This window comes from Homo sapiens, chromosome 6 (genome assembly GCF_000001405.40).
Source record: "Homo sapiens chromosome 6, GRCh38.p14 Primary Assembly".
NCBI lineage: Eukaryota > Metazoa > Chordata > Mammalia > Primates > Hominidae > Homo > Homo sapiens.
Window position 1 is genome coordinate 8,689,241 of NC_000006.12, and position 25,741 is coordinate 8,714,981.

At 37.6% G+C, this 25,741-nt stretch overlaps 1 long non-coding RNA gene across 2 annotated transcripts in view; it reads left to right on the top strand.

Moving 5' to 3' along the window:
- The window catches only part of LOC100506207 (uncharacterized), a 349,823-nt gene that overhangs the window by 253,618 nt on the left and 70,464 nt on the right, over positions 1-25,741 (top strand). Inside the window, exon 4 of one of the 2 annotated variants that reach the window (NR_038979.1) lies at positions 21,369-23,053. The exons of the other annotated variant lie outside the window; for it this stretch is intronic. This is a non-coding gene — a long non-coding RNA (uncharacterized LOC100506207). Of the gene's footprint in view, positions 1-21,368; positions 23,054-25,741 lie in introns of those variants that run through there. 2 annotated transcript variants of the gene reach the window in all.

A 25,741-nucleotide genomic window follows, 5' to 3' on the forward strand; every position in this document is an offset into this window, starting at 1 on the left:
TTTTCCAGAGTGGGTGGACCATTTCATGTTCCCACCTACATAGTAGGTGTGATTTGGTGGTTTCTCTGCATTCCTCCCAGCATTTTGTCTTGTAACTTTTTTTTTTAACCTTTCTGATAAATTAGATATATCATTATGATTTTAATTTAAATTTTCCAAAGGACTAATAATATTGAACATCTTTTCTTGGGCTTATTTGCCATCTGTGTATTCTCTTTAATGACATATCTCCTTATCTCTCTTACCCACTTTATAATTGAATTGTTGTTTTTTATTTCTACTGTTAAATTTGAGAGTTTTAATATTTTCTAGACCTTTGTCAAATATGTGGTTTGCAAATATTTTCTTCCAGTCTGTAATTTGTCATTTTGTCCTTGTAACAGGGCATTTTGCAGTACAGAAGTTTTTAATTTTGATGAAAGTCCAATTTGTCAATTTTTTTTCTATTTTTGGATGATGATTTTAGTGTAAAATCTCAGAACTCTTTACTTAGCCTTAGATACTGAAGATTTTCTCCTACTGTTTTCTCAAAGTGTTACAGTTTTACTTTTTACAATTAAGTCCATGAGCCAATCTATTTTGAGTTTATAGGATATGAGACTTGGGTTTGGGTTCTCTCTGTCTCTCTCTCTCTTCCTCTCCCTCTCTTTTGCTTCTGAATATCCAGTTGCTCCAGCATCATTTGTCAAAAATGCTACCTTTCCTCTATTGAATTGCTTTTGCCTCTTTGTCAAAAATTAATTGGGCATATTCGTGTGGGTCTATTTCTGGGATCTCTGTTCTATTCCACTGGTTTTTGTGTCTATGTTTTGCCAGTACCACATCATCTAAATTATTGAAGCTATAAGTCTTAACATCTAGTAGATCAATTTTTAATTCAAAATGATTTTAGCTTTCTTGATTCTTTTGCCTTTCTATGCACATTTAAAAATCAACTTGTCTATGTCTGTAAAAACACCTTGCTGGGATCTTGGTAAGATTGCTTATTGATTTAGAAAGAATTGACACCTTTGCTATGTTTAGTGCTTCATCCCATGAACATGCTATAGCTATGCATTTATTTCAATTTTCTTTGGTTTCCTCTATTGGTCTTTTGTTTTCAACATACAAATCTTATACATGTTTTATTAGATTAACACATATATTTATTTCTTTGAGCAATTTTAAATTGTACAGTAAATTATCTTTTATTTTAAATATTTGTGTTAATGGCTAATGTATAGAAATACAATTGATTTTTGTATATTTATCTCATATCCTGAAACCTTCATGAGCTTACTTATAAGTTCCAGAATTCTTTTATTGGTATTTTTTGTTTTTGTTCATTTTGGGTTTTTTTTTATTTTTGGGGATTTTTTATTTAGATGATTATGTCATTTGCAAATAAGGACTGTTTTATTTCTCCCTATCCAATGTGAACACTTTCTATTGCTTTCTTGAACTAGCTAAAACTTCCAGCATTGTTTTGATTAACAGTAGTGAGAGTGGACACTCTTGCCTTCTTTCTAGTCACAGGGAGAAAATTCAGTCTTTCACTCTTAAGTATAATGCTAACTGTAGGGTTTTTTGCAGGTACTCTTTATTAAGTCAAGGAAGTTTCTCTGTATTTCGATTTTTCCGACAGCTTTCTTTTCTTCGAAATAGATGTTACATTTTGTCAAAATTCATGTTTATTTTCCTTCTTTATTGTATTAACATGGTGGGCTACAGTGATTTTTGATTGCTGAACCAGCCTTGTGTTCTTACCGTAAACCACACGTAGTCATGATGCATAATTCTTTTCATATGTTGCTGAATTTATTTGGTAAGATTTTGCTAATTATTGTTGTGTCTGTATTAATGAGGGATATTGATCTGTAGTTTTCTGTTTGTACTGTCTTTATCTGGTTTTGGTGGTAATACTAGCTTTATGGAATGAATTGAGAAGTGTTCTCTCCTTTCTATTTTTCTGAAAGCTATTGTTTAGAATTGTCTAATTTTCTTTAAACATTTGGTAGACTTCTCCAGTAAATTCAATGAAGTCTGGAGATTTATGTTTTGGGAATTCTTAAAAATTACAATTTCAATTTTCTTAATAGTTAAAGAGCTATTCAAATTATTTCAAATTGTTTCTTGTAACCATTTGTTTTTTTCAGAGGATTGTTCCATTTTGTCTAAGTGGTATCCAGCCTTTTTGGCAACAAGGACTGGTTTCATGGAAGATAATTTTTTAATGGACAGGGGAAGAGGGTGGCAGGATGGTTTTAGGATGAAACTGTTCCACCTCAGATCATCAGGCATTAGTTAGATACTCATAGAAGTGCACAACCTAGATTCCTTGCATGTGCAGTTCACAATAGGGTTTGCACTCCTGTGAGAATCTGAGGCTGCCGCTGATCTGAAAGGAGATGGAGCTCAGGTGGTAATATGGTTTGGCTGCGTCCCCACCCAAAATCTCATCTTGAATTGTAGTCCAAATTGTAATCCCCACGTGTTGGGGGAGGGACCTTGTGGTAGATGATTAGAACATGTGGGCACTTCCCCCATGCTGTTCTGATGATAGTGAGTGAGTTCTCATGAGGGACTTTCTCCCCCTTATCTCTGCACTTCCCTTTCCTGCTGCCCTGTGAAGAGGTGCCTTTCACCATGATTGTAAGTTTTCTGAGGGCTCCCCAGCCATGTGGAACTGTGAGTCAACTAAATCTATTTTCTTTATAAATTACCCAGTCTTGGGTATTTCTTTATAGTAGCATGGGAACAGACTAATACAGTAGTTTGGTAGCAGGTAGTGGGGCACTGCTATAAAGACACCCAAAATTGTGGAAGTGACTTTGGAACTGGTTAACAGCCAGTTAACCAGGAGACGAGGGCTCAGAAGAAGAAGACAGGAAAATGTGGGAAAGTTTGGAACTTCCTAGAGACTTGTTGAATGGCTTTGACCAAAATGCTGTTAGAGATATGGAGAATTAAGTTCAGGCTGAGGTGGTCTCAGATGGAGATGAGGAACTTGTTGGGAACTGGAATAAAGGTGACTCTTGCTATGCTTTAGCAAAGAGACTGGTGGCGTTCTTCCCCTGACCTAGAGATCTGTGGAACTTTGAAATTGAGAGAGATGATTTAGGGTATTTGGCAGAAGAAATTTCTAAGCAGCAAAGCATTCAAGAGGAATTAGAGCATAAAAGTTTGGAAAATTTGCAGCCTGACAAATGCAATAGAAAATAAAAACCCATTTTCTGGGGAGAAACTCAAGCCTGCTGCAGAAATTTGCATAAGTAACAAGGAGCTGAATGTTAATCACCGAGACAATGGGGAAAATGTCCCCAGGGCATGTCAGAGACCTTCAGTGCAGACCCTCCCATCACAGGCCTAGATGCCTACGGGAGAAAAATGGTTTCACGGGCCAGGCCCAGGGCCCTCCTGCTCTGTGAAGCCTTGGAACATGGTGCCCTGCATCCCAGCTGCTTCTGTCCCAGTCATATTTAAAAGGGGCCAACATACAGCTCGGGCCATTGCTTCAGAGGCTGTGAGCCCCAAGCTTTGGTGCCTTACACGTGTTATTGAGCTTATGAGTACACAGAAGTCAAGAATTGTGGTTTTGGAATCTCTGCCTAGATTTCAGAGGATGTAGGGACATACCTGGATGCCCAGGCAGAAGTTTGCCACAGCAGTGGAGCCCTCAATGAGAACCTCTGCTAGGGCAGTGGGGAAGGGAAGTGTGGGGTTGGAGCCCCCACACAGAGTCCTCACTGGGGCACTGCCTTTTGGAGCTGTGAGAAGAGGTCTACTGTCCTCCAGACCCCAGAATGGTAGATCCACCAACAGCTTGCACTGTGTGCCTGGAAAATTGCAGACACTCAATGCCAGCCCATGAAAGGAGCTGGAAGGAGGGCTGTACCCTGCAAAGTCACAGGGGCAGAGCTGCCCAAGGCCATGGAAGCTCACTTCTTGCATCAGTGTGACCTGGATGTGAGACATTAAGTCAAAGGAGATAATTTTGGAACTTTAAGCTTTAATGATTGCCCTATTAGGGCATGGGGCCTGTAGCCCCTTTGATTTGGCCAATTTCTCCCATTTGAAATGGGTGTATTTACCGAATTTCTGTATCCCCATTGTATCTGAGAAGTCTAACTTGCTTTTGATTTTACAGGCTCATAGGTGGAAGGGATGTTTGAACTTTAACTTTTGGGTTAATGCTGGAATGAGTTAAGACTTTGTGGGACTGTTGGGAGAGCATGGTTGTGTTTTGAAATGTGAGGACATGAGGTTTGGGAGGGGTCGGGGCAGAATGATATGGTTTGGCTGTGTCTCCACCCAAAATCTCATCTTGAATTGTAATCCAAATTGTAATCCCCACGTGCTGGGGAGAGCTGTAGTGAATATCAGGCTCGGATGTAACAGGAGTAATCTAGCTTGTTCTACTAGCTCTGTTGTACAACATCCTTGCTGAGATTGTGCCTAGCTAGCACCATCACAATGTACTAGACTGGAATAATAAAGTGCGCAAATGGATCTGAGTGGTACAGATGGTAGATTGTATTTTATCCCTCAAAATTCTCCTGGCTCCACCTCTTAACCTAGCTACTATACTGGCTTTGATAAGCCTAGCAGTCATCCAGTGCTTCAGCTTGAGCCGTTCAACTCACCTCTTGGCTCCTGCCCTGGTCTTCTCTGATGCCTTTTCAGGACACATTCTTGAGAAGCCACTTTGCACTAATTTGTGTGCAATCCAAAAGTGGGAAAACTACCGCCTGTGGGACTCCTCTTACTCTCCTCTTTTATCTCCTGACCAGGCAATTTTGTGATGTTTTTTCAAAGTCTCCTCAGTATTCACTGGGAGATCAAGCACCAGCTTCCCATAGCATTTGCTAAGCAGATAAAACATTTTTGGGATGGTTTTCCTCTTCTTCTCTCTTTTATTCTTCAGCATGTACTTCTCCCTGGGACCACATTCCTGTGTGAACAAGTGCAAGCAAACCTTTGCATTAGACCCTGCTTTGGGAGTAATCCAGGCTCAGAAAGAAAAGCCATCTGATGATGACTTTAAAGTGAGAAACCTCATTGCAAAATGGAGGTTTCATCTTTCAAAATTGTATACATTCTTTTTAACATAAGATAAAAAATAAACATTAAAAAATCATATTTGAACTCCTAGACTCCCAAGTAACTATGAACCACAATTTGAGAAACAGCGGTGTCAGATCTCTTTTTTAAGGAGAATTATCAGCAGTTTCATAGAACCTATGGAATGACCAATAACCTATACTATGGGTCTGGAGTTGGTCATTTGCCACAATGTAGCTGCAAAGTGCACAATTTGGTCACAATGTCCACAGTTCAATTGCTAGGGGAAAAGAAGAAAAGGGCCATTGGATAGGCAACTAGAATACTTTGACATTGGGACATGAATGATTGATGTTAATAGATTCAAGTTTTCCCAGAATTTTGTTAGTAAATATTCATTCTTACTCAGAACCAGAAATATCCGAATGTGCTAGACTGGTTAATACTCTGTGTTAATGGCATACATATTATGAATATTGTTTAAAAGGAAATATGAGTTTATATTTCAAAATTAATATAGTTCCTACATGTCCTTATTTGACTTTCAGCAAAGGTAATGCTGGCTCAGGTTTTAGCAATTTACCTGCTGTTAAATGTGGCAGCATGATGTTTCAATATTAGAAAATAGGGGAAAAAATTAAAAAGGCTTTTGTGGATTTGCATTAAGTAAGCTAAGAATATATTTTTCCATTTGTTATTAGCCATTGTTAAAGCAATTGAATTATTATACTCTTATCCATCATTGTAACATTTGGATTTATGGAGAACATAATCAGACAATAGATAAATATGAATTTTTAAAGAGAAAAATCAAGTCTACAAATAAGAAAAAGAACAATCACCTGATTGTTATGAACCATCTGAATATAGTTTTCTAGGAATTCTTTGCTCTAAACAGACAAAAAACAAAATGACTCCCACTGGGTAAGGAAAAAAGCAATAAGATCTAAATCTTAATCAAATGTTGTTCAGATCTCTATAGCTGGGGGCTGGCTTTACAGGAACATTCAGAAAGTTGTATGTGTGTGTGTTTCAGGTCTCCATGTTACATTAAGACCTTGTGCAGGGTACAGTTACCCTCAATAATTTCATATTGTTTAACTAGAAATTCAAAGCCAGAAACAAATATTTTTGTCCTCTCTCCAAGTAAAGAATAATATCTTCATTGACTAACAAAAGAGATTCTTCTGAGCATGGATTATGCCTTTAGGCTCTAGGATGATGCCTTTTTAGTGTCTATATGCAAACTTTAGTTGAAATTACGACCCTAATTGACAGGATTTTTAAATTGAGCACCCACAGGCCACGTTGCTACATAGTACATCGTCATTTTCTTCTACATTGAATTAATTTTCAATCAACATTGTTAAAAAAAAAAAGAACAAGAGTAGAAACTGGCTACCAATACTCTAAAGCTATTTCAAATCCCGAAGCACAAAGCTTAATTAAGAACCAATTAATATAGAGAGTATACGTCAAAAGAAGATAAGGAAGATATGATGAGGTCAGGGTAAAAGTCGTTTCTGTTTTCTTTTGAAGCTTAGATATATCTCAATTGTAAAATAGAGGAGAAAATAAAACATTAACTTGCTGAATCTGCTTTATTTTTAAAAATAGAAATAAAATTTACCTTTGAGGTTACTGACCCATAATCTTATTAGAGAAGAAAAAGCATCAGAAGGATTCATAAGGCACTTCTTGTAATTTCTTAGGGAATCAGGGTAGTGTTTGAATTATTAGGATCAATTTATTGTGGCATATGATGTTGTTTTGCTGAGACAGAACCACTTGCGCCACATGAACATGGAATTAGGTGTTGTTGCCACCAAAGTTCTTTCAAGTTTAGCAAGTTCATACTTTTATTTTCCAGTAATGGGTCAATTCTGTCTTCATATTGATCCATTTAAACTACTATGAAACCTAAACCTTTGTTCTGAGTTGTGATGTCCTTATAGCCTTCACTTGAGGGTGAATGCATAATTTTCATGTTAAGTGCACCTCAGTTTTTATCTTTCTAATCTATGACACGGAAGGTGGAAATACATGCTGTCAATGAGGTCTTAATGCTGACAAAAATGGAAATCAAATGAGTATGGTTAATTAGAAGTCAGGTGAATAAGTACTTTAAGGAATTGGAAGTGATTAACCGTATCTTCTAGTGTCTCCATTTATTTGAGCTGCTGTAACAAAAAACCATAGTCTGGGCAACATAAGCAATAGAAATTTATGTATCACAGCTCTGGGGACTGGGAAGTCCAAGATCAAGGTGCCAGCAGATTCAGTGTCTGGCAAAGCTCACTATCTGCCTCAAAGATGGTGCCTTGTTGCTCTGTTCTCACATAGTAGAAGGGTATAACGGGGCTCTGGAGCTTCCTCAAGCTTCTTATATACAGTTAGTAATCTCATCCATGAGGGCAGAGCTCTCATGACCTAATCACTTCCTAAAGGCCCCACTCTTTAATACTATTACATTGGGGGTTAGGTTTTAACATATTAATTTTGAGGGAACACCAACATGCACACCATAGCATAGCTGAGAATTAGCTACTGAGTTTACAATGTGAAGGTCATTGTTGACCTTGAGCAGTTTTGATAGAGTAAGAAGGATGGAGTGATAAAATTTGAGTGAAGTGGATACAATAGAGATTAACAAGAGACAAATCAGGAACAACTCCTTTGAGGAATTTGAAGTAAAAAGAGGAGTAACCAGCCAGGCGCGATGGCTCACGCCTGTAATCCCAGCACTTTGGGAGGCTGAGGCAGGTGGATCACAAGGTTAGGAGTTTGAGACCAGCCTGGCCAACATAGTGAAACCCTGTCTCTACTAAAAATACAAAAATTAGCCAGGTGTGGTGGCATGTGCCTGTAGTCCCAGCTACTCAGGATGCTGAGACAAGAGAATCGCTTGAACCCAGGAGGCAGAGGTTGCAGTGAGGCGAGATTGTGCCACTGCACTCCAGCCTGGGCAACAGAGTGAGACTCTGTCTCAAAAAAAAAAAAAAAAAAAAAGAGGAGTAACCTGTAGTAATCAAAACAATATGGTACTGGCATAAAGAGAGACATATAGACCAATGAAATAAGATAGAAAGCCCAGAAATAAAACCACAAATATAGGGTCTTTCTAAGAGGATGCCAAAAATATAAAATGGGGAAAGTCTTTTCAATAAAAGGTGTTGGGGAAACTGGATAAGAGAAAGAGGTGGTAGCTGAATCGGGGATTGGGAGCAGATTTTTTTTTTTTTTTTTTTTTTTTTTTTGAGACAGAGTCTAACTCTGTCACCCAGGCTGGAGTGCAGTGTCGCGATCTCGGCTCACGGCAAGCTCCGCCTCCTGGGTTCATGCCATTCTCCTGCCTCAGCCTCCCGAGTAGCTGGGACTACAGGCGCCTGCCACCACGCCCGGATAATTATTTTGTGTTTTTAGTAGAGACGGGGTTTCACCGTGTTAGCCAGGATGGTCTCGATCTCCTGACCTCGTGATCCGCCCGCCTCGGCCTCCCAAAGTGCTGGGATTACAGGCATGAGCCACTGTGCCCGGCCGGGAGCAGACTGTTTTTAAAATATGGTATAATGTGTTCTTTGGAGAAATGTTGCTTCAAGTCCTTAGCTGATTTTAACTGGGTTAGTAGTTTTATTTTTTGCTACTGAGTTGTAGGCGTTTGTTATATATTTTGGAGATTAACTTCTTATCAGATATGTATGGTTCGCAAATATTTTCTCCAATTCCATAGATTGCCTTTTTACTCTGTTGATTGTTTCTTTCACCGTACAGAAGCTTTTTAGTTTGACCTAAGTTCAACTGGTTTATTATTATATTTGCTGTCTGTGCTGTGGTGGTATATCCATGAAATTATTGTCAAGAGAAATATCATGACCATTCTATGTTTTTTGAGAATATGTATAGTCTTACGTTTAAAGCTTTTAACCCATTTTGAGTTGATTTTTGTATATGGTGTAAGACAGAAGTCCAATTTCATTCTTTTGCATATTGATATCCAGTTTTCCCAACACCCTTTTTTAAAGAGATTTTCCCCATTTTATATTCTCAGCACCCTTTTAGAAGACCAGTTGTCCATATATTCGTGATTTTCTTTCTGGATATTCTGTTTTGTTCTGTTGGTCTACAAGTCTGTCATTATGCCAGTACTATATCATTTTCATTAATGATATAGGTTTGTAATGAATTTTAACATCAGGAATTGTGATGCTTCCAGAATACATAAAATAGCCAATAGGTATATAAAAATTCTTAATGTCACTAATAATTAGGGAAATGTAAATCAAAACCACAATGAGTTATCTACTCACACCTCTTAGGATAACTAGAATCAAAAGTAAAACCAAAAAACAAGTGTTGGCAAGGATGTGGAGAAATTGAAACACTTGCACACTGTTGATAGGAATGAATAGTATGGCGGTTTATCAGAAAATAAAAAATAGAACTACCATATGATCCAGAAATTCCACTTCTGGGTATTTATCCAAAATAATTGAAGTCAGAATGTCAAAGAGATATAAGCACTCGTATGTTCATTGCAGCATTATTCACAATAACCAAGATGTGGAAACAATCTAAATGTCTGTTGACAAATGGATGGGTAAAGAAAATGTGGTATACACATGCAATTGAATACATTGAACCTTAAAAAGGGAAGGAAATCCTGCAAAATGTGACAACTTGGATGAACCTTGAGGACATTATGCTAAGTGAAATAAGTCAGTCACAGGAAGACAAATACTGCATGATGCCGTTTAGATGAGGTGTTTAAAATAGTCAAATTTATAGAATCAAAGAGTAGCAAGGTGATTGTTGTGGGGAACAGAAAATGGAAAATTATGAATCAATCGGTATTAGTTTCAGTCAAGCAAGATGAATAATCTCTCTAGAGATCCACTGTACAACATTGTAACTACAGTAAAAAATAATGTATTATACACTTAAAAATTTAAGATGGTAGATCTCATGTCAAATGTTATTTACAATAATAATAATAGTAATAATAATAAATGAGAATAATGGCATGTTTGTACATTAATCAGAATGATTCAGTGGAGAGGAAAAACCCGATGATGCAGGGAAGAGAGAGGCTTGGATACTTGGACCAGTGACCTTAGGTGAGCCTGAGGGGTGGGTCTGTAGCATACAAATGAAAAGGTTGGCTCTAGATAGGCACGATGATCATTTGCCTATGGTAGCAGGAGGAAAAGCAAGGATACTGTGCTCTGACTGCTTCAGTGTCTCAGTAAAATCTCAAGCAAGCTCATCAGCAGAGAGTGGGATGGAAGAAGTTGTATTAGTGTGTTGAAAGTCAAAGACATTTCTCTATTAAGGGTTTAATTGATTTTTGTTGTCATTGATTACTGCAAGGGTTGGCAACTTTTTCTGGAAAGAATCACATATTTTAGGCTTTGTGGTCCCTGTAGTCTTTATTATAACTACATGATGTTACCATTGTAGTAGAAATCTTCTACGGACAATATGTAAACTGGAGCTGCCATAGACTATACATAAACTGACAGTTTTCCTCCTCCCTTCTTAAAGACCGTGTTCAAATGCCATTGCCTCATTGAAGTGTTGCATGATTTTCTTGGGCATAATCAGTCAGGATTCTTTCTGGGGTCCTAGATCCTCTGTTGAACACCTTTCTTCCACATTCTTCACACTGTACTGTAAGTACTGGAGCTAGTTTGCCTTGGTTCAAGAGAACCGAATATTAAATTTTCTGGAATTCTTTGAGTCAGTTAAGGTACCATCAGCAGCTTGAAATCACACAAATTGGCAAACTCTACAAATAAAGGGTTCCCTCACTCCCAAGTGCCAGTTATTAAACATTTATTTGCCGGGTCACTCACCATAATAAATTTGTTTGCATTACCATCCCTTTCGCTAGTACCAACTTCTTAAGAATATTGACCATGTTCAATTAATGTTTCTGTCTTCTCCACCTACAGAACTATGGGGATTTTGTCAATGCTGAAAACTGTTAAAGATAATTTTGAATGTTTTACTTTTTTACCTAACTAAATAATTCAAATCCAGAAAATTTCTTCCAGTTTAATAATCTGTCCAAAAGTCAATAAAGTGTACCAACCCATGCATAAGAGGAATAAAGAAGACATTAGGTGTTTGTGAGATGAACCTCATATTGGATTGGACCTCAGCCTATCACAGTTTTCCCTGAATTGACTTTGGTTTCAATCTCTAGTCACTCAACCCACTCTATCACCTTCGGCCTGGACAAGCACTGTGCCTCATATCTGATGGTAAGATTCATAGTTTGTAAGAGCACAGGGTTGGAGCCAGGCTACCTCCTGACAGTGGGCAAGTTATGAAACATGTATGTTCTCATCTGTAGAAGGGAGTAAAAATAATATATACCTTGTAGAGTTGCTGTGTGGATTAAATAAATTAACCCTTGCAGTGCACTTAGAGCAGTGTCTTAGCGATGTTAGAGCTAGTTCTCATTATTAATCAATCTCCCAGGTGTCTCCTCTTGCCTGTCTAAAAATCCATTCTCCCCAAAACATCCAGAGTGACCTTTAAGAAACAGAAATCTAATTGCATTATCTCCCTGCTTGAAAACCACCAATGATTTTTTTAATGCTAGAAATAAAAATCCAGTCTCCTTTTCCTGGTCTCTAGTCCTGTCATGATCTGCCCCTGTGGTTCCTTCTTGCTCTCACCTCATGCCAGGCTCACCTGGTTTCACTAAACTTCACCCATATGGTCTCCTTCTGCTCCTTGGGTGTGCCAGCTTTCATCCTACCCTTGGCCCCCACTCTTCCCTCTGCCTGGAATAGTTTTCTCCTAGTTATTCCTGTGATTCCTTTGTGTTACTCCGACCTTGGTTCAGATATCGCCTCTTCATGAGGTCTCTCCTGAACACTCATTCCAAAGGAGCTCAACCCACTCTCATTACACTTTATCTCATCCTCCTCTTTTATGATCTTTATATCACTTGTCCATATCTGAAATTGTTGTATTTATTTATCTTTTTATTTGCTTGCTTTGTTTTTATTCCAAATGGATATAAACTCTGGAGAGTATGGATATTGTCTATATTTTTCACTGCTGAATCTCTAGTTCCTAGATCAGCAGGTCCTCAAAACATTATCGTTGAATCACTAAATGACATGAAGAATGGATGTATCTTCTTGTTGCTGTACTTTGGAAACCCAGTTGATCCCTTGTCCTATTTCTGAATGGAATCACTGTCCTCCATTGTAGAAGTCAGAAAGCTCAGGGTCATCCTTAACTTGTCCTTATCCATCATCCCCGTAATGTACTTCTTACCTTCAGTCCATTCTGCTTCCAAAATCGCACATGAATCCCTCTACTTCTTCCTGTCTAGAATCATTTTTATGTATTTGTTTTTCCAACTGGTCATTGTTTCTTTTTTTTCTTTTCTTTTTTTTTTTTTTTTTTGTTTTTTTGAGATGGAGTCTTGCTCTATTGCCCAGGCTGGAGTGCAATGGCGCAATCTCGGCTCTCTGCAACCTCCACTTCTTGGGTTGAAGCGATTCTCCTGCCTCAGCATCCTGAGTAGCTGGGATTACAGGTACCCGCCACCATGCCCAGCTAATTTTTTTGCATTTTACTAGAGACAGGGTTTCACCATGTTGACCAGGCTGGCCTTGAACTCCTGACCTCAGATGATCCTCCCACCTCGGCCTCCCAAAGTGCTGGGATTACAGGTGTGAGCCACCGTGCCCGGCCTGGTCATTGTTTCTTATGCTCAGCTTCAATCTCTTTGCTTCACTACAGTTAGATTAAACTTGCCAAATCGCAATCTGATTGTGTCCCTTCATTGCTTAAAACCAGTAACATGTAAACAGTCACATGAGGTGGGAGACATTATGAATGCACAATCTAGCCCCGTATAATTTGTGTCCATCAGCATGTCTGAGGTTAGGGGCAGTTTCTCAGAAGCCACTGGCTTCCTATGTGAGTTAAATGATTTTTCTTTGTCTCTACATCAGGGCTTTCTCTACATCGTGGAGCTGCTCATCGCTCAATGTGGCTCCCCTGGGGCAACTCTCATACAATGGAGGATGGCATCAATGGATAGATGTTTCAGTCTCTCCCACCACCCCAGCCTCCCAGCCTTCACTGGGATTCTTCTTAGACCCTTGAGGCCACTGGAGGCCATGACTACACTTGGTACCTCAGAGGGATGCCATGTAGGCATGTAGGGTTGAGACCCATTGCCAATAATCATGACCAGCTCAATAACACACTGTTTTTTGTTTTGTTTTGTTTTATCTTCTTTCCTTATCTCTCTTTTACCTCTTCCTTGCTTGTGCATTCTGAAATTAACTCTTAAATAAATGACCTGTATCCAAGGCCTGTCTTGTATTTCACTCTTGGGAAAACACAAGCTAGGATACATGACTTATAACATGCCTTGTGATCTGGTCTTTACTTCCCTCTCCAGGTTATTTTCCTCAGTCAACAACCACTTCCTACCCACATCAACCTTGTTTTGAGGCCATACTAATTTCTTGAGTACATCATGCTCTTTCTTACTTTCTATGTATTTGTGTACTTTTGGCTGCAACCTAAATGCTACCGCAATCACCCAGTGGATAACCACGTGCCATGTTCCAACAGGTGTTCGATGATTGCTCCTTCAAGTAATTGGAGTCTGAAATTTATTCCTGTTCATGTAATTCCACAGAGAAGTCTTAAAATATTTTAATTTATTTTTATACAGTGGGTTATGGGAATATCGCTAAAATTCTGAGAAGATATAAAAGCAGAAATACATATAGTTATTTTAAAATTCCAAATTTATATTTTTCTTATTTTTAATGGCCTTTAAGTTAACCAGGTGCAAACAATCTACTATTTTCATTTGGAAACAATGGAACATCCAGCTGTCCAGAGAATAAATTTGTGTGAATTGCATGATTTAAAAAATGTAAGCCAATGTTAGCTTAAAATTTTCTTTTTACAATAAGTGAAGTTCTTTTTATGGAGGACTGTCACGTGATTACTTTTATTATATCTTTTTTTTTCTGAAAAATGTTCCCTGGAAGTAGCATTTTCTCAGTTCTAAATAAACTTTTAAGTTATACCCAGCAAGAGCCAAAGTGATGATAGAATTAAACTCATTATGCTTTTATTTTACTCTGATACTCTTAACAAGAGATATAGCTCATTCTGAACATATAATTAGGGCAATTGAGGTAATCCATGCTTTAATAATATTTGAGATGATAAATGCCAGTTACAACAAACATGTTACTACTCTTTTCACTGTTGTTCCTTTTCTCTTTATAGTCACTCACTAAAAACTTGGATTTCTTCTATGTTTTAATTTTTATAAAACCAACAAAAATCCAGAGTTCTTATAGACCACTGATATTTGTTGGCCTGAAAACATTTGAAAGAACAGGCGGTCTTCTTGCTGCAGGGTCCAAATGCACTATCAACGTGATTTATATGATATATTCAAATATTTCATGTAAAAGTGAATTTTCATTTTCATATTCACATCTTTACAATTTAAATCTGGATAATTCTCACTTACTGTTCAGAGCTCAAAGAAATTTTCCACAGTTGCCCATACCACTGCAGCATGCCTGAGTTTCCATGCACCGTGTGCTCCTCCGTCACAATCTATTTTAGACATTGGTAATTATGTCTTTAATGTACAATTGTGCACTACATGACAATGTTTTAGTCAATGATGGACTGCAGGTATGACAGTGGTTGCATAACATTATAATGAAGTTGAAAAATTCCTATTGCCTAGTGACATCTTTTTTTTTTTTTTTTTTTTTTACTTTAAGTTCCTGGATACATGAAAATTTCCTACTGCCTAGTGGCATCTTTTTGTTTTTTCTTTTTTCTTTTACTTTAAGTTCTGGGATACATGTGCAACATGTAGGCTTGTTGCATAGGTATACGTGTGTCATGGTGGTTTGCTGCGCCTATCAACCCGTCATCTAGGTTTTAGGCCCCGCATGCATTAGGTATTTGTCCTAATGCTCTCCCTCCTCTTGGCTCCCACCCCCTAACAGGCCTCGGGGTGTGATGTTCCCCTCCCTGTGTCCGTGTGTTTTCACTGTTTAACTCCCACTTATGAGTGAGAGCATGCGGTGACTGAGATCTTGATGATCCTGACCCTGTGTAGGCCTAGGCTGATGTGTGTATTTGTCTTCATTTTTAACTAACAAAAATATTTAAGAAGTAAAAAGAAAAATTTAATTAAAATTAGAAAAAAGTTTATGGAATAAAGATATAAAGAGAAAATATTTTTTTGTAAAGCTATACAATGCATTTGTGTGGGAAGCTAAGTATTATTACAAAGGAGTCTAAAAGTTTAAAAAATTAAAAAGTGCACAAAAAGGCTACAGTAAGCTAAGGTTAATTTATTATTGAGGAAATAAAAATATTTAAAAATAAACTTAGTGTAGCCTAAATGTACAGTGTTTATAAAGTCTACAGTAGCGTGCAGTAAGGTCCTAGACCTTCACGTTCACTCACCACTCACACACTGACTTACCAGAGCCATTTCCCGTCCTGTAAGCTCCATTCATGGGAAGTGTTCTATACAGATGTACCATATAAAAATCTTTTATAAGTACGAAAGGTATAGATTTTCACTACACCTTTTCTATGTTTAAATACACAAATTCTTACCCTTGTGTTACAATTGTCTACAGTATTCAGCACAGTAACACGCTGTTCAGATTCGTAACTCAAGAGCAACCGACTCTATCACATAGCCTAGGTATGTAGTAGGCTATACCGTCTGGGCTTGTGTAAATATACTCTATGATGCTCCCACAATGACAGAATTCCCTAAGGACACATTTTTCAGAACATACCCCTGTTGCTAAGTGATGCATAGCTGTATATCTTCTCCACTTGACTACAAACTAAATGATGATCCAAATGGAATCTATTTTTTTTTTTTTTTACTGTCATATAACTAGCTCTTTAGCACAGCACCTGACACATAGTAGGTACTCAAAAGATGTTTGGAACTTCCTCCAGTATACATCTATATTTATTTTTCCAGCATACATAGAACTTTAGTTGATTACATCATTCATTTATATTTTTATGCATTTAAATTTACTTAAACATTCATTTATTCTACAAACTTTTATTGAGCTCCTAGTATGTGCCAGTGAACATTAGGCCATGTAGTGGTGCCTTAGAAATAAAAGACAGATTCCCTTTTCTTTAAAAAAGAAGACAGAGAAATATAAGAAAATCAGCCTGGGAAAAAACCACCTGGGAAGCTGCTTGAAATACAAATACTAGGCCCCTCCCCAGGCCTACTGGGCAGAGACTCCAGCAACCTATGTTTTAACAAGCCTCCCTGGGAGTCCAAGGCCCACACTGTAATGTGAGAGACGCCTGGTACAGACACTGCTCTACCCTCTTCCCCAAGGCAGATTTCCTCCATCTGAAAGTACTACCAAGTCCAGAGTAAAAACTAACCCAGTTGTAGTTCTGAGGTGCAGGATTCAGTCTCGCATCTGCAAAGCTCAGAGTGGTGCCTTCTTAGATCACTAGCTGACCCCTTTAGGGAAAGCCTGTGCCAGAATAATCCTCTAAGCATTGTTCTGACCTCCTGCTGGCTTCCTGTGGTTTTCCTCTATTTTGTGTCTCCAAAGTCTCATAGATGAACTTACTTAAATTATATGGTATATAGACTTAATTAATGGTAAGGAAAGTAGAATTCACTAGTTTAAAGGGAAAGCAATAGGAATGAATTTAGTACATATTTTCAGCAAGAAGCATGGTGGTGTTAAGTCAGAGACATCAGTTTGAACATATTAAAGGCCATTCTTTTGCTCTGTCAATCTCATGGCTGTTGACTCTAACTTTAATGCATAGTATCTTGAAAATATGTGACTATAATCAAAATGGAAAGAAATGAATCTACATACATCAACATAGATCCTTATTTCCTGAAATATTCGGAACCTACATATACTTACACACACACACACACACACACACACACACCCCGCACCCAAGCACACAATTATTTTTGTTTGTTAGTATGTGGTGTTCTTTTACAAATATATTAATGAGCTATTTTTAAGGTTTTAAAAATGGTTTGCTTTGTAATGGGTGGCCTAAAAGTCTTAGTTTTACTTCTCTGGAAATTCTGACTTTTCCCTTATTGCTCAGTTGTGGTTTTTCAGCGAGGAAAGTTTTGCTATTTTCCAACTTAAAGCAAATAAATTTATCTTATAGTTTGTTCTATTTTGTATACCTTCTCAAAAACACATTTGATAGCAGTGCAAATGCTTTTTGAAAATTAAAATAGTAAAAGTACCACAAGGACTTCAATTAAAAACATCTCGCTTTGCCCTGTGTGAGCTCTTTTCTATTTATCAGGATGTTATTTAAAGTTGGACAATTAATGTAAATGCTCTCTGGAGAACTTAAGTGCTTCCGTGTAGATAGGTGGAATTTCCTAGGAAATTCCAGAGACTATCAATCTATCAGTCTGTCATTCAACAAATGTTTCAGCTGCATGAAAGATACAGCTTTAGATTCTAGGTGCAACTGGAAGTGACACTTAAATTAAATGGAAAAATATGCATGCAGAGTTAAGTTACAGTGTTAATATTAATGATCATTCACTTCTGTGTAGCTTTTTTGGTAAGTTTTTAAATTTTATTGACTTATTTGACAACTAAAAACTAAATATTTGAGGTGTGCAATTTCATGATTTGATGGATATATGTATAATCACCACAATAAAGCTCATAATATATCCATTACCTCAGATAGTTTTCTTTCTTTCTTCCTTTTTCTTTTTTCGATGAGGAGGTGGTGAGAATACTTAAGATATATCCTCTTAGCAAATTTCAAGTTGTATAGCTTACTTAAATTATTTTCTTTCAACCTATAAGGCAGGAAGGGAAATAATTATTATCCCCATTTTCAAATAGAGAAACAGAGGCTGAGGTTTGCAGACATCAAGTGCCTTATCCAAGGTCATGCATCCTTATGCTAAGTGCCAAAGTCATGATGAAGACTAGCTCTTTGGAGTTCTAATACAAGACTTGTTTATGACTTCCCATTGCCCCTTTAAAAAACAAAACAACAACTAATTGATGGTGCATGATAAATGATAAATACAGTTATATCAGAAAAATGCTTATTTTTTGTGGCAGTGATGACTGGGAATTCCCTCCCTCTATGAAGGAGAGAGTGAAGCACTGGGTTTTGGGCCAATTTATCTAAAAGTGAAAGAGCCTGGTCTTGGGGAAATGATCAGTGGTGGAAGGAGGAAATGCACATGCAAGGCCCGCAGTGGATCAGTGTTCTGCGATGATTGAAGGCGCCCTTGGACTTGGATGGGCATCCTGACATTGTCTAGTCCTGACTGTTCATTTCTCAAGATTCTTGTTAGCTGCCAAGGTCTAGTAGGATGAGACCACATTAATGTCAATGAAGTCCAGTCAGTTCGAGACAGCTTTGTTTTTCTACAATTAAAACAATGAGGCAATGACTCTCAATCATGATCTCTTGGGTCTATTTCCCCTGGATACTAACTAATGGTGGTTCCAATTCTTTTAAAACAGACTATATTTTTTTTTTCTCACATGAGTTCACACACACAAATGCATGTGGTTTTGGTCCACATGCATTTCATATGACTCTGAAGTATAGCGTTATTGGTGAACATAAAAGCAATCAGACTTGATTACCGTTCAAGAGGGACTCTGAAAAGAGCATCCACGAATAATGCCCTGGACTCCTGGAAAGCTTGGTGTATCATTCCTTCTTCTTTTTTTTAAGAGCACTGGACCTTAGACAGTAGATGGCAGTGTGAGATGGGAAATTTAAGTCTTGGCAGCGATATGCTTGAAACCAGCCCAGTAAAAATGGCTTTTTGACTTGGAAGCATTTATGAAATGAACTTTCAGTCGGAGTTTTGTCTGACAGCCAGGATTCCACCCTGCGAGGTGTTGGCAACCCACAGGTGAGGCTGTGTAAGTGCTTTGTTTGAACCGAGGCTGTTGCACTGCTCGGAAGCAAGGTGGGGAGCATTTGAGCAAAATCATTGTCACAGAGCCAAGCAAACTGCCACTCAGGTCTCTTGGCACTCCTGTTCCCCCTGGCATAGTTAGAGCCACTCCTCTTTGCCTTTCTGGGAAATTCATTGTGTTTAAATCTAATAAGTAGAAGCTTTGATATATCCAAAATGTTGTTGCTGCTTCAGGTATTTACTTAATCTTTCCTTTCCTTTCTATCCTAAACCCCTTAAAAGTCTGAAGCAGTGAGTGAGGGAGTTTCCAAACTGAAAAGCAAATTAGATTATTCATGGGAGAATTGCTCAATCTGAAAGTACACTATTCCCCATGGCTTATCAAATGATGGATTCTATTTAGAATCTTTAAGAAATCATGGAAAATAGGGCAGTGTTGAAGCAGGTTTGGGTGTCTCTTCTATTAAAGACTCTTGACAGTGGCAGGATTTGGTATCTACAGTTACCTGGTAAACCTGGATCCCTCTAGAACACCTTATAACACGCAGGTGTATTTTAAGCACAGAAGAAGTAGCATAAAACATTTGTTTTACACAATATTCTATTTCATAGAGAAGAGGTTAGAGGATCCTTGCTGCGCATGCAGTCACTGAAGAATCAGAATAGGGTCCATAATGAGTGTATCCTAAAGTTAGTAATTATTCTGCTTCTTGAACCTATCTGAAAACTACATTCCCTTAATTTAGGTATAATTTCTAGACTAGCTAAATCTCAGCTTTTATGTGATATAATATACATTACTTAACCCTCCATAAGATCTTGTTTTCCCAACTGTAGAATGAGGATAATAAAAGTACTTGCTTCATAGAGCCTGTTATACCATAAATATTGCCATTATAATACAGTTTGCTATACAACAAATATTAGCCATTATTATTACATATATGTTGATGAGTGCAGGCATATTTTCAAACAAAATTACTTTCTCTCCACTTCCCGAAATAATTCAAGAGGATAGTGAACACTAGTAATACTCTAAGTCAAACAAAATTAAGTAGATAAGTCTGCTCAAAATATACTGTGTACACAATTAAGTGCAGGAAAATTTAAGACTACCTGTAAAAACACTCATTTTCATCAATATGCTTCAGAGGAGAAGAATAGAATGTTACACAAGCCTCCACACACATACTGTGTATGCGCATTCACATGCCCATATATTTTCATTCATTACTTAAAACAGTGCTTTGGTTAACCAGGTGTGGAGACACATTTTCAGGACAAGAGAAATAGAAGCATGAGAATAAAGTATTGCCAGAAGTCACATTCACCTCTTCTTTTTAACAGGCAGAATTTCTGTTTATCAAGTGAGATTGGGGTCAAAGCTTGAAGGGGTAGAGTGGGCATAAAAATGGTCATGGGCCAGGCGTGGTGGCTCACGTTTGTAATCCCAGCACTTTGGGAGGCTGAGGTGGGTGGATCACTTGAGGTCAGGAGTTCAAGACCAGCCTGGCCAACATGGTGAAACCCCATCTCTACTAAAAATACAAAAATAAGCCTGGCATGGTGGCAGGTACCTGTAATCCCAGCTACTCAGGAGGCTGAGGCAGGAGAATGGCTTGAAACCGGGAGGCGGAGGTTGCAATGAGCTGAGATCGCGCCATTGCACTCCAGCCTGGGTGACAGAAAACGACAACAGCAACAAAACGGTCATAACCATCCTAAAACTGGAACCTTCTTTTGAGAGAGAAGTACCTAAGTTAATCTGGAGGAAAAGTAAGTTGAGAGTGATTGACCTAGTGAATTATGGTTAAGTATCAAGAAGTTACTTCCCAACTCCACTACTTTTCACTTTCTTATATTTTCCTCAAGTTGTTTTTTCATTTCATTTTTTGTTTGTTTGTTTGTTTAATTAACTTTACTAAGGCGATAAGTCTGCGTTCTTTCCCAGGCTCTTCCAGGTTTTGAGATCTTGGGAAATTTACTGAATGTCTCTGTGTCCTCACCTATAATAATAAGAAATAATAACACCCCAGCTTGTTGTGAGATGAGATAAGCAGATACATGTAACACCCACCAGTCCAGTGTGGGGCATAAGGTAAGCTCTCATCCCATAAAAGCCAGAGATAAAAAGGATCATTTGACTTGGCATTTACAGAATTAGAAAACTACATGATGTTTGAAAGAAGCTCAGAGTTAAGCAACGCCTCTTATTTTACAGATGAGGAAACGAATGGCTAGAAAGGTTAAGTAAAGATTGGTAACACTGCTTGCATTAGTCAGGATTCTCCAGATAAACAGAACCAATAGTATTTATTTATTTATTTGTTTATTTAATCATTCATTTATTCATTACAAGGAATTGGCTCATATGATTGTGGAGGCTCAGACATCCCAAAATCTGCAGCCAGCAAGCAGGAGACCCAGGAGAGCGAATGTTGTAGCTCCAGTCTGAAGATCGTCCAGCCTGAGACCCAGGAGGAGCCAATGTTTCAGTTTGAATCTGAAGGCAGGAAAAGACTGATGTACCAGCTCATGGCAGTCAGGCAGGAGCAGTTCCTCTTACTAGCAGGAAAGTTGGCCTTTTTGTTTTATTCTGGCCTTCAACTGATTGGTTCAGGCCCACCCACATTAAGGAGGGCAACAATCTGGTTTACTTGGTCTCCTGATTAAAACATTAATCTCATCCAAAAATGCTTTCACAGACACACTTAGAGTAATGTTCAACCAAATATCTTGGCACCCTTGGTCCAGTCAAGTTTACAATATTAACTGTCACACTGTTATAAGTCTAGTCTATGCCTAATTTTAAGCTTCTAAAACAATCAACTCAAAGGAAATTTAACTGAGCTCTAGTGGTCCCGTTTGCTAAAGTATAACATTAGTGTTTTATTCTAAACAAGTTTAGGCTTTTCTCTTTGCTAAGATAAATTCACATTTTTAAGCTTTGAAAATGCCATATATATTATTTATTTATTTATTTATTTATTTATTTATTTTTGAGGCAGGGTCTCACTGTCTGGCTCAGGTTGGAGTACAGTGGTGTGACCATGGTTCACTGCAGCTTTGACCTCTCAGGCTCAAGCTGTTCTCCTGCCGCAGCCTCCTGAGTAGCTGGGACTACAGGCTCATGCCACCACACACTGCTAATTTTTGTATTTTTGGTAGAGACGGGATTTCCCTATGTTGCCCAGGGTGGTCTTGAACTCCTAGGCTCAAGTGATCCACCCACCTCAGTCTCCCCAAGTGCTGGGATTACAGGCGTGAACCACTGTGCCCAGCCAAAAATGCTATTCTGTTAATAGCTTCTTAGAGTTTTTGTTTTTTGTTATGTGGCCTTAAAGCAGAGCAGATCCATGTGTATAGGGACCAGTCACAAATACATTATAGAGGTTGCCCTCAAACTTCATTTGTACCTTTCTGGCATTAGCTTTCTCTTTCAAATGATATAAGGAGGCAGCAGCATGATGTCTTTGTTCCCTGACAGAGGGAAATCTAGGAATCGGTTATCTGCCTTCAGAGAAGTCTGGAATGAGAGTACAAGGAAACTATGAATCTCACCACTTTGAGAGCCCATTTACCAGGAGGAAATGAATGAGAAAGAGTATGAGTTCAGATCAGCTTGGGAACTAAAGCCATGGCCATGCCTGGGAGAAAGGAACTTAAGGTGAAGACAAAAATCAGTGGGGAAGTATACACTCTATTATCAACAAAAATCAGATGATCAATTTGTATTTATTACAGGACCAGAGTGTACAGAACTGAGTGGCCTTCAAGGCAGCTCAGGGCATTGAACTCTGCCCTTGATTCTTTTGGGTGAAGACATTCAGTGCCACACTACCAGTATGTAATGTTTGCACCTGGCAAAAGTGGTGGTCAAGATCTACCCTGAATTTACTGAAAAATGTCTCCTCTTTTCTTTCTCAACTACTGTGGTTATTAGGCTATATTCTTTCAGTACCTTCACACTTTAAGAATTGTTAATTATTCTTGTTTTTTCTGTTATCATTTATACTGATAAAATGAATTATAAGCCTAAAATAATACATTTCTTGGCATTTTTGGGGTTTGATCATGTTTTTTGCTTAGTTTGAAGAGTTATTGCTATAAAGAATATCATCAATGAAAATATATCTAACATATTTAAATGCTTTTATCTGAAGGGTGATATTTATTTTAATATATTGAAGGTATTTGAGTGTCATTTGGTATTTATTTCTTATCATTGTTAATTTGAATGATACTTATTATTTTGGGGGACCTCATAAGCAATACGCAATTAATACTTGAATTTATTTTAAAAATTAACGAGTATATCCTTAGGTTGGATTGCCAATGCACTTTAGAGTAAATCTTTGAAATGTATGAAGTACTTTTTAATTGGAATTATTTAAACTGAGGTAATGATAAGGGTAATACTATTGTTAATGATCCTTATAAAATTCATTTTTATTTTGTTTACCAATTCCATTTTGGTTCTTAAATTAATGCTCTCAATTGCATACATGCACATAAAATCAGTTAGTTGGACGTCTATAATCAAATGGTAGACTCAATAAATTATATAAACATTTATTAAAATAATCTTATATTTATATTATCATTTTATAATTTTCAAAATGGTTTCATTAATTATCTTTTCATGAATATTATTGTGTACTTACAACAAGAGGCCTCATGTTTTTCGAACTCTATATGTACAACACTGATTACGACATTACTTCTGCCTTTAAAAAACTTATATTACACTACTGTAGACAGATAAGTAAAGAATTATTGATCTGGGAAGACCAGTATTATAAGAGAGGCATAAATAAAATATTTTAGAATCAGAGGATGAAGCTATGAACTGTTTTGGGGGAAATAGGGATGGATCAAGGAAGATTGTGAAGACAATTTAGGATTTTGAGCCAAATTAGAAAAGATGAGGTGTTGCCTAGGAGGAGAAACTGGGTAAGGGAATTCTAGGGAGATGGACCAGCGAGGATGTAGTGTCTGCTTGCACACAGGGTGTTGGAAAAAAAATAGGTAACAATTTGGAAACAAAAGGAGAAGGTCAAGATTTAAATCTAGAAAAAAAGAAAAAAGATCAGAGCTAGATGGTGGAGGGCCTTACAAATTATTCTAGCTATGTCTACCTTTTCCTAGGTAATGGAAAGCCAGTGGAGGTTTAACCCTCACTTATCATCCAGCTACTTTAAGATGCAGGAAATGTAAATGATCTCAAGTTTATGAGATGTCATCCGCTAAAAAATATTAACCAAGTGCTAGCCTTCTAATTTCCAACCCTGTGCAGTTCAATACCTTTCAAATAATTCTGGGTCTACTTCAACCAATGTTCTAGTGAGTCAAGTAACAAATGAAACATAAGTGGCAAGGAGTCAGATTTTTGTCTATTGTGTTTACTGCTGTATCCCCAATACCTAAAACAGCACCTAGTGCCAAATTAGTAGAACCAATAAATAGAAAATATGTATTGAGTGATTATGAAGTATCAGTTACTCTTTTAAATACCATTACTTGGATTAAAGGATTAAAACCGCTATTAGAGAATTGTGTTCCACTTTTGGTACATTATTTTACAAATCATTGCTGGACAAGCAAATAATAATATGATATTGAAGGTTCTGGAGAATATCACCAAATGTGGCCTAAAATGACACATCATGTTGAGGAGATTTAGTTAGAGGAGACTTATCTTCAAATATTTGAAAATCTATCATGTAAAAGAAGTAGATCTATTTTGAAGAATCATCTCTGGAGAGTTTACTTAGGGTCGATGCGTGGGTGCTGTAAGAGTTATATTTTGTTTTAATATGTGAAATAATTGTTTGACAATTTGATTTAACTAATAATAGAAAAAATTAATTTGGGATAAAATAAGCTTCAGTTTACTCATGATATTCAAACAAGAGCTGCAGGGCCATGGGTTCTATAGAACAGAATACAGAGCTATAGGATATACAAGGTTCTGTGAGTCTAGAAGAAGTTGGTAGACCAGACCAGTTGGATTATTTTGATTCAAGTGAGGAGTGTACTGGTCTGTTAACATGTATGTTTGAAAGTAGTTGGCCTGTTTCAAATCAGCTTTGAACATCAATTAAATGGGGAAAAAAGGCTCTTTGGCTTTTTGTCAATGTCCTTTCCAAACCAAAGCAGATTATTCATAGTTTCCTTTAATGTCTTCTCTTCTGTTTATGAGGAATGACTCAAGGGAGGTTTTTCTTTAATTCAAAACAAACAGAGTGTTTACATGATGAATGGATGGCCAATACTTCTATGTTTCCTGAGAATGTTTACTGCCCATCAGGTGTTGTTTTACCTGAACTTCTGGTGACTCAAGAGATGGGACAGACTCAGACCATGGACTCCAACTACTGACTTGCTGCTTGCTCGGTTGCTGATTATGAATTTGCTGAAAAAAATTCTTTATAACGCCTTACAAGAAACTGATAGTTTAGCAAACTGTTAAATTGCAGATGGACTGTAATGGCTTGGGATACTGGTAATGGCGTTGTTACACTTCTTTATCTGGAGGTCCTCTTGCAGAAGCCTCTGAAGAACAGGGACACATTAATTTTCTGAGGATATATGTGGACTAGGGTTTATGAAGCATCATGCTTGGAGAAGACTTTCTTTCTTTCTATTTCCTGTTTTCTCATTTGAGAAAACCTTAATGGCCACTGCTTGTCTGCTCCCATTATTGGCCAAAAGGAAAAGAAACCAGGGAAA